General features: G+C 40.9%; 1 non-coding gene across 1 annotated transcript; it reads left to right on the top strand.

Annotated features, from left to right (window-relative positions):
* Positions 1-3089: 3089 nt before the first annotated feature.
* LOC124901508 (small nucleolar RNA U3) lies at positions 3090-3302 on the top strand. The gene has a single exon (XR_007059939.1). It is a non-coding gene; the product is annotated as a small nucleolar RNA U3 (small nucleolar RNA).
* Positions 3303-10707: the final 7405 nt, after the last annotated feature.

Raw genomic sequence — 10707 nt, 5'->3', positions numbered from 1 at the left:
CTCAGCTTAATTGAGAGAACTATGGGTTGCAAAACTAACTTTTTAATGTTCTTTTGAAAATTTGCTTCTTGCTCTGGCCATTCATACGAGGTGTGTCATAGCTGTGTTAACTTAGTGCCCTAGTCAAAACTTCTAATTTAATGTTCTTCTTCATATATAATACCTAAACGGGGATTAAAAGTTGATAAGAGGACCGGGTGCGGTGGCTCATGCCTGTAATCCCAGCACTTTAGGAGGCCGAGGTGGGTGGATCATGAGGTCAAGAGATTAAGACCATCCTGACTAACACAGTGAAACCCCATCTCTATTAAAAACACAAAAAAATTAGCCAGGCGTGGTAGCACGTGCCTGTAGTCCCAGCTACTAGGGAGGCTGAGGCAGGAGAATCGCTTGAACCTGGGAGGCGGAGGTTGCAGTGAGCCAAGATTGCGCCACTGCACTCCAGCCTGGATGTCAGAGGGAGACTCCATCTCAAAAAAAAAAAAAAAAAAGTTGATAAGAATAAAATGATCCATGTAAATTTGTTTGAGTTCATTGTAAATTCTGGATATTAGCCCTTTGTCAGATGAGTAGGTTGCGAAAATTTTCTCCCATGTTGTAGGTTGCCTGCTCACTCTGATGGTAGTTTCTTTTGCTGTGCAGAAGCTCTTTAGTTTAATTAGATCCCATTTGTCAATTCTGGCTTTTGTTGCCATTGCTTTTGGTGTTTTGAACATGAAGTCCTTGCCCACGCCTATGTCCTGAATGGTAATGCCTAGGTTTTCTTCTAGGGTTTTTATGGTTTTAGGTCTAACGTTTAAATCTTTAATCCATCTTGAATTGATTTTTGTATAAGGTGTAAGGAAGGGATCCAGTTTCAGCTTTCTACATATGGCTAGCCAGTTTTCCCAGCACCATTTATTAAATAGGGAATCCTTTCCCCATTGCTTGTTTTTCTCAGGTTTGTCAAAGATCAGATAGTTGTAGGTATGCGGCGTTATTTCTGAGGGCTCTGTTCTGTTCCATTGATCTATATGTCTGTTTTGGTACCAGTACCATGCTGTTTTGGTTACTGTAGCCTTGTAGTATAGTTTGAAGTCAGGTAGTGTGATGCCTCCAGCTTTGTTCTTTTGGCTTAGGATTGACTTGGCGATGCGGGCTCTTTTTTGGTTCCCTATGAACTTTAAAGTAGTTTTTTCCAATTCTGTGAAGAAAGTCATTGGTAGCTTGATGGGGATGGCATTGAATCTGTAAATACAACCCCATCAAAAAGTGGGTAAAGGACATGAACAGACACTTCTCAAAAGAAGACATTTATGCAGCCAAAAAATACATGAAAAAATGCTCATCATCACTGGCCATCAGAGAAATGCAAATCAAAACCACTATGAGATATCATCTCACATCAGTTAGAATGGCAATCATTAAAAAGTCAGGAAACAACAGGTGCTGGAGAGGATGTGGAGAAATAGGAACACTTTTACACTGTTGGTGGGACTGTAAACTAGTTCAACCATTGTGGAAGTCAGTGTGGCGATTCCTCAGGGATCTAGAACTAGAAATACCATTTGACCCAGCCATCCCATTACTGGGTATATACCCAAATGACTATAAATCATGCTGCTATAAAGACACATGCACACGTATGTTTATTGCGGCATTATTCACAATAGCAAAGACTTGGAACCAACCCAAATGTCCAACAATGATAGACTGGATTAAGAAAATGTGGCACATATACACCATGGAATACTATGCAGCCATAAAAAATGATGAGCTCATGTCCTTTGTAGGGACATGGATGAAATTGGAAAGCATCATTCTCAGTAAACTATCGCAAGAACAAAAAACCAAACACTGCATATTCTCACTCATAGGTGGGAATTGAACAATGAGATCACATGGATACAGGAAGGGGAATATCACACTCTGGGGACTGTGGTGGGATGGGGGGAGGGGGGAGGGATAGCATTGGGAGATATACGTAATGCTAGATGACAAGTTAGTGGGTGCAGCGCACCAGCATGGCACATGTATACATATGTAACTAACCTGCACAATGTGCACATGTACCCTAAAACTTAAAGTATAATAAAAAAAAATAGATTTGGGGCAACACAAATGAAAAAAAAAAAAAGATCCAAAATGCAAATAGACAATTCACAGAAAATAATACCTTAAAGGCAAAAAGAATAAAGAAAAGATTCCAAAATACACTGATAGCGTGATTCACTTTAAGCCTATCAGACCGGCAAAAATTCAAAAGTTTATCTTACCAATCACTGATGGGGAGTCAGAGAAAAGGGTATCTTTGTACACTGCTGATGATAATGTAAATTTGTACTGCCTTTTTGGAAAGCAATCTGGAAACATCTGTTAAAATCAAAAATATGCATGGAAATAAAAGCTCAGTGTGCTAGTTCAGGTCAGTGTGCTAGTATGCCACATCAAGATTAACATGCAAAAGATTTATTAGAGAAAGTGCCTGTGAAGAATGATGACAGAGGAAGCAGGAGTAAGTGGAAACTCTATGGACTGTGATGCAGATCTGATACCTGTGAAAGGAGAAAGGGAAGGAAGGATTGCGTAAGAAGAGCCTGAGACTGCAGCACAACTCTGAGAACATTTCAGCTGTGCTGATAAGGAGTCCCCAAGCAGACTGCTCATTAGAAGAGTCCTGCATTGCAAAAGAATGAGACACACTCAGTCATTGGCTGGGGATTACAAATCCTTGTAACAAATTGCCTTGTTAACGAATGTCATAGTGATGAACCAAAAGAGCAAAGAGCTAGAGACTGTCAATTAACTATGCTCGCTGCAGCAGGGTATCTCAAAGAAGATCTAAGTGGCATGAGCACAGAGGCATGAGAGTATGGATATGAGGATATGGTGTTGAGAATTGTTCACGATGGCAAAACAACTAGAAACAAATTAAATACCCAAATTAGGGGAAAGGTTGAGTAAATTAAGTCCTATCCACGCCAAGGATTAATATGTAGTTCATCAAAAAGAGTGAAGTACGCCTTACTCTTGATCTAGAGGAGTTTCCACACATTAATGCTAAGAAAGCTAGTGTATGACAGCAACTCATTTATTAAAAATCAAAGACCAAGACTACACTTTCAGGGATCCTTTCTTCAGTTCGTTACTAGAGGTTTCTCTGAATATGTAGAGCACCAGAAACCACTAGAAGGAAATGCAGTGTGCTCTCTCCAGAGTGTGAAGCCAACCCTTGGTGTTGCTTGGCTGCAACTGCCGTTTACCATTGACAATTGTTCTCTTCCTCAAGAAGAATGAGAGGGAAAGAAGGCAGTCTGTGTGATTCCCATTAAAAAATAATAATTTTTTAAAAAATAAAAGACCAAAATACACAGTTACATGAGCTTAACAAAAAGTGCACAAGGCTACAAACCAGGCTGCTGGCCTGGTTTATTCATTAAAAGCCAAACACTAGAAACAGTCCAGATGTCCTTCAATAGGGATGGTTAAACCCTTTTATCACAGCCTGTCCACGTGACAGTCCTCCCACTAGACCAGGAGCCCCTTGAGGATTGCAACCTAACATGGCACCTGATACTTTCTGCTTAATAAGTACTTACTGAATGATTAAATAAATGAATGAATGAACTCAAAGGGAAGTTATAATTAACCAAATGGAACAGAGATAAGAAGCAGACATAGGAATCTTTTATACCTAAGAGATTGGAACTGGCAATACGCTATGAATGTAAAATCATGTATAAGCTTTTTATTATTAAATGACTTCCATGTCTCTTTATTCATTATTTTAATGCAAGTATTTCATCCCTCAGTTGTTAATCTACTTTCAAAGCCTAAAAGAAAGTTATCTTTAAGGTACCATAAAATTGTCACATTACTAAGGTTGAAAATAGAGTACCTACAACTGTTTTTTGAAAATAGAATCTTTTATCACTGGGCAGTACCAGCAATAGACATGCTGTTAGAATTCGCTGTAAATACAGTGACTGGCAAGTATGTACTTGCAGAGTCAATAAGCCTTCATTTCAAATACAGACTACCACCATTTAGCTGTTCTTCCTCAAATACCTCTCTGCTGCATCCCAATTAATTGTCAACATTTACAATCACCTGGCCCCACTAGGCTTCCTTCCCCCACCACAGAGCTCTCACCCACTGACTCAGCAAGAGCAGTTAAGAACATGCATAGGTCACAGGATGACCACAGTTATGTCCACTTCCACAGTAAATGTGACAGTTCACATGTCCACCAAAGGTAAAGGAAAAAAATAGACAAAACAACCTTGCTATCAAAAGTCTACACAATGGCAGTCTCATTCAACTAGAAGAAGGAACAAAATGAAAGGTGAGGAATCAATGTTAGAACCAGCCCTCCCATGAGGAACAGTTTTGATAGAAAATGAATGAAAGCAAGTAAACAGACTTCGGAAGCCCTGAAAGACAGTGAAACAGCCAAAGAAAAGACCAAGTTCAGGAAACTCTGTTGGGAAGATGATTAAAATGTCAAAAGACAGAATTGAAGAAAGGTATGTCAAAGGCAGTAAGGAAGCCCAAAGATCTGGGCTGTGTGTGTGTGTGTGTGTGTGTGTGTGTGTGTGTGTGGTGTGATATTCTCAGATGGGCATGCAATATTCTGATATAAGTACTTCTGAGCAGTTTTTACTTGCAAATGGATACAAATTACATGCTTTTTAATGATATTAGCCATATCAGTGGGTGGTGGTGAGAAAAGAAAAATGGAATCAGGGATGTATGGGTTCTGACTAGCTCTGTCATTAACCAGGCCCTGGGCAAGTCATTTAATTCAATAACCCTAAATCTGTTCATGACACACAATCCCCAGTTTTTCCAGACCTCTATAAAAATGTAAGGCCAGATCTCTGTTCCCTAAATCAGAGTCACCAGGGGAAATTGCCAGACCCAAGCCTAGAGACTCAACTTTGCTAGATCTGGGGTGAGCTCAGTAAGGTAATATGATTGATTTTTTTTTTTGATGGAGTTTTGCTCTTTGTTGCCAAGGCTGGAGTGCAGTGGTGCTATCTCGGCTCACTGCAAACTCCGCCGCCTCCCGGGTTCAAGCAATTCTCCTGTCTCAGCCTCCCGAGTAGCTGGGATTATAGGCACCTGCCACTATGCCCAGCTAATTTTTGTATTTTTAATAGAGACGGGGTTTCACCATGTTGGCCAGGCTGGTCTCGAACTCCTGACCTCAGATGATCTGCCTGCCTTGGCCTCCCAAAGTGCTGAGATTACAGGCGTGAGCCACCATATCCGGCTGGTAATATGAATGTGTTAAAAACTCCTTCAGCAACTCTGAAACTCAGTCAAGTTTGTGAAGCACTGTTCTGTATGATCTTTATGGTTCCCCCCAGCTCAAAAATCCCAGAGTGACTCCTGAGTCACCAAAAACAAACTGAGATGGTCATCCCATCATATTGAGTGTTTAATTTACACAAGCCATGGAAGTAACAGAGCTATTTATTTCATTTTCAAATAGACTCACTTACCAGACACAGCTAATTTTGTTTATTATCTGGTTGGGGGCTGAGAGGAAGGTGCATTTGGCACTGAATCATCTGCCTTTGTGTCAGTGAACCTCCAAGCCAAGTGATTAAAAGAATTGAAGTGGGCTGAGCATAGACTGGTGGATAAGCCTATTACAAGATCTAGAAAGAATTTATACGTTCCCAAGAGACTAAGTGAAAGCCATAAGTATAGAGAGAGCAAATGTTTTTATTTAATATTAACTTCCCCTTTCAGAGACCCCACTGAGCGCTGTGCAATGGGCTGGCACAGGCAATGACACAGACGAGTGAGAATCTGATTATAATGTATATGAGGAAAAAGTACCTCATTTAGGACTCCTCTCATCCTTCAGTCCTATTAGTTTCATTTACTAACAGTATAATATTGTTGAGCTCACCCCTTTATTAGAGGCTTCTTAAAACCACAAGTATGAAATTTTAATTTTGTACAAAATATTTGTGTTCTGACTTCTTATCTAGATTCAAAAATTCATTTTATAGCTGAAAAACATTATGCTATTTGTGGCCCCTTTAAAATGTCTTGAAATCTCTAATTGATTAAAACTATTTAACATTATGTTTCCTTATGGTATCGTGCACTAGGCTATAATAATTCATTTCATCACAGCTTCCCTAGGACCTCCTGTGATGTTTATGAGCTTGCTGCTATGGTGATTTTATTTTCATTTATAAAAGAATGTGTTACTACCTAGTCATCCCCATTTTCTAAGAAATCTTTTCTCTGAAATTAGAAACCAGGTATGAATTTTAACCTTTTGGGTCTGTGATAAGTGTTTTAATGGCTTCATTTAACAAACTATACTATTATTTAATTGCTTTGATTCATCTAATTTTGTGAAAAACCCAGGGAAATAGGGTTGATGTGAAAACTAAATTAATACTCACTGCCATGTATGAACTTCTTTCATACTCAGATGGCTCCTCAATGGCACTTCAGCTTCATGAGACACAATTCCCATGCTAATCCAAAGGTCTGGAATGACAAACTATTAGAAGAGGAAGGGATCTTAGAGCTTATCAAGTATAACTTCTTACTGGTTTGGAAATCTACCTATATATCAATCTATCTATCTATATCTATCTTGAAATGTGAGTAGTCAGCTTCTGCATGAATTCCTGGGACAGGAGAAAGCCTGCACCAGAGTTGGAAACTCCTAAGAATTACTTGGAAACCCCATCATGATATACAGGTGTTTACTACTAAACTCACGACTGTGACCTCTGAACAACTGAATAAGATTAATTCACTTCTCCTGACAGCCCTCAAATTGTTTGAAGACAGCGGTGCCTACAAAAACATCTCAAAGTTGCACATCCCAAGAGGCTGCAGGAAGAAGGCAGATGGTAGGCAGGGCTAACATGAATCTCCTACTTGCATGGTCAGAACAGTGTGTGGAGATTCACACTGTGAACTTTTGTTCCAAGAACTACTACAGGAAAACCAAAAGAATTTACCAGGAAAACCAAAAGAATTTACAGATCCTTTGAAAGAAATGGCATGCCATTGCAAACTCAGTGAGACAGAAGAAAAACTGTGAGTTCCCAAAGTGTGAGTGGGGAATAACCTGCCTCCAAACACACATCCCCACTGGGGAATCTGAAAACTCAGGTGGTGGGGGAAGGATTTAACCCTACCTAGAGCTGGAATGGATTTAGGGAGCTGTGCAAAATATAAAAGGAGAAGCAGCAATGGGAATAGCCTTTTAGGCACCCCCAGTCTCCAGCTTGAGCCCAGGGAAGTCATCCCTGACTATATCTCACAGGGCCCCTTGGGGAAGGCAGCCAGCAGAATTAGGGAGGGGTCACAGGGTGAATGAAACTGCCAGCTGAATTTTGTGATACTCTCTACTGGGCATCAACTTCCTTGAGCAGAATCTGGGGGGCAAAGAAGAACAGCTGCAGATATAGGCACAAGAGCTACTGCCATTGTGAACAGAAGAGCAGGGGCTGTGGCCTGAAAGCCATGCTTACTTTCTCAAGGAGGAGGCTTCTGGCCTAGGGCAAGTGTGAGTTTTGCACACAGGTTTCCCTGTTAGCAGGGCACTGCAGGAGCAAGATGGCCTTGCCAACTGTGTGGGAGGTAGATGAGGCCTTTTGCTACCGGCTATCTTGCACTTCCCTGGCAAACAATACTGCTAAACAGAGGCAGCCATACTCTCTTCTGTATGAACCACACCTTCATCCTCCACAGTGGCCATGGCAAGCTCTGCCCAAGAAGAGTTTGACTTCAGACACACCTAACCCTGCCCCCACCTGATGGTATTTCTCTAACTCAAATCCCTCTATAACACTGCAGCTGGTGTTCTATTATAAGTGCCACCTCCTGGCTGGAGGCCAACAAACTCAGGTCATTACAGCAACTCATGTCAGAATGACCCTCATCCCAGGAAGGAGAAAACAATACCTAATTCCACTGCCTGAAACATCCTGGCTAACCAGAGGTCCTGAGTGTATCCACACAGCAGCTTCACTGCTAGCACAGCCAGCATTCAAGAAAGCCAGCACACTAAACCTATCTACAGCCAAGGATTCTCACAGAGTCTACATCACCCCCCTGCCACCTCTACCAGAGCAGGTGCTGGTATCCATGGCTGGGAGACCTGAAGACTGATCACATCACAGGACACTTTGTAGACATTCCCAAGCCCTAGCCCAGAGGCTGGTACCCCACTGGGTGGCTATACCCAGAAGAGCAAATAACAATCATTGCAACCCAACTCCCAGGAAACCTCATCCCTATGGGAAAGGGGAGAACACAATATCAAGGGATCACCCACGGGATAAAAGAATCAAACAGTAGGCCTTAAGTTCCAGATCTTTTTGCTGGTGGGTAGTTTCTCACAACAGAGACACAATTGCAGTGCTGGGCACAGTAGGGAAAGTCTGCACCTCTACCCCAACAAGCATACACCCTCTAATCATGAAAGACCTTGCAGAAGGGGTCTTTGTTCCCCCTTGGCACTCCAATGCAGACAGAGCTGGGGCTTCCCTCACAGGACTGCAACATGGAGGCACCTATAGATAGCCTTTCTGGAAAAATCCAGGGTGAGTGCAGCCCCCAGGAGGAGTACCCCCAAGATTCAGGCCTACATAAGAAGCAGAGTCACAATTCTTCCCTACTTGGAACATCAACATTCCCTGGAGATAAAAACAGGTGCCTGTCTGAATAGCTGAAACATTAGGACAGAAGTGAGGCTGTGAGGTGAATAGTTTTCCTGCTGACCTGGCAGGAGAGTGGAGGTAGCTCCCACTCTTCACCCTGATAAAACCTCAACACATCTAATTGAGAGTTCCCCCAGTCACCCTCATCAAGGCTGGAACCTCAGCCCACTCTTGGGTATTACATCTTACTCACTCATCTTAGCTAAAACCAGTGCCTACCCAGGGATACCTCCCCTATTAGCTTTAAGCCTGAATCATCAACTCAGTAAATGAAACAATGGGAAAAAAATTAAATAAATAAACTATACACCATGAAAGAATAAGATAAGCTTCAAGAGATCCCTGCCATTTCAACTCCGTCAGAGACAGGCAACTCACTGACAAACCAAGAATATACCAGCATCAGAGAAAGACAGCATAAAAAGACTCTCTATAACTAATGAACTTATACAAAGTCTTCACCCCTACAAGCACAAGAACCAAATTAGGCTAAAATAAACACTATGGTCTGATCCTTAAGAGAGAGAAGAAGGCCGGGCACAGTGGCTGATGCCTGTAATCCCAGCACTTTGGGAGGCTAAGGGGGCAGATCACCTGAGGTCGGGAGTTCATGACCAGCTTGACCAACATGGAAAAACCCTGTCTTTACTAAAAATACAAAATTAGCCAGGCATGATGGCGCATGCCTGTAATCCCAGCTACTCAAGAGGCTGAGGCAGGAGGATCACTTGAACCTGGAAGGTGGAGGTTGCGGTGAGCTGAGATTGCACCATTGCACTCCAGCCTGGGCAACAAGAGCGACACTCCATCTCAAAAAAAAAGAGAGAGAGAGAGAGAGAAGAAAAAGAGAAATTTAAATTAAAAAAATACAGTTCAATCAAATATAAATTCAAGAAAAATTTGAAGAAATAGTCTACCAAAATGAGAAGGAAACAGAAAAGTAACTCTGATAAGATGACAAAACAGGGTTCTATAACACCTCCCAAATATTACACTAGCTCCCTGACAATGGATCCAAACCAAGAAGAGATCTCTGAATTGCCAGATAAAGGATTCAGAAGGTAGATTATTAAGATACTCAAGAAGATACCAGAGAAAGTTGAAAAACAACATAGAGAAATTAAAAAAAAAAAAACTATTTAGGATGTGAATGAAAAATTTTCCAGAGAAATAGATATCATAAAGAAAAAACAAGCACAACTTCTGGAAATGAAAGACACATGTGGGGAAATACAAAATGTAGTGGAGAATTTCAACAATAGGCTGCAACAAGTAGAAGAAAGGACTTCAGAGCTCAAAGATAAGGCTTTCAAATTATCCCTATCAGGCAAAGACAAAAGAGAATTTTAAAAAATATGAACAAAGCCTCCAAGAAATTTGAGATTGTTAAATGGCCAAACCTAAGAATAATTGGTGTTACTAAGGCAGAAGAAAAATCTGAAAGTTTGGAAAACTTATTTGAAGGAATAATTGAGGAAAAGTTCTCTGGCCTTGCTAAGAGATCCAGACATCCAAATACAAGAAGCTCAAAGAACACCCAGGATATTCATTACAAAAACATCATCACCTAGGCACACAGTCATCAAGTTATCTAAAGTCAAGATGAAGGAAAAAAATCTTAAGACCTCTGGGATTAAAGCATCAGGTAGCCTATAAAGGAAAAACTATGAGATTAACAGCTGATTTCTCAGCAGAAACCTTACAAGCCAGAAGGGATTTGGGTCCTATCTTTAGCCTCCTTAAACAAAATAATTGTTAGCCAAGAATTTTGTATCCAGCAAAACTAAGCTTCAGAAATGAAGGAGAGATAAAGTCTTTTTCAGACAAACAAATGCTGAGAGAATTTGCCACTACCAAACCAGAACTATATGAAATGTTAAATAGAGTTCTAAATTCTGAAGCAAAACCTCGAAATATACCAAAAATAGGACATCCTTAAAGCATAAATCTCACAGGGCCTACATAACAATAACACAATGAAAAAAAAAGTATTTGGGCTACAACTAACATGATGAATAGA

This window comes from Homo sapiens, chromosome 6 (assembly GCF_000001405.40).
Source record: "Homo sapiens chromosome 6, GRCh38.p14 Primary Assembly".
Taxonomy (NCBI): Eukaryota; Metazoa; Chordata; class Mammalia; order Primates; family Hominidae; genus Homo; species Homo sapiens.
This window is presented reverse-complemented; position numbering and strand designations above follow the sequence as displayed.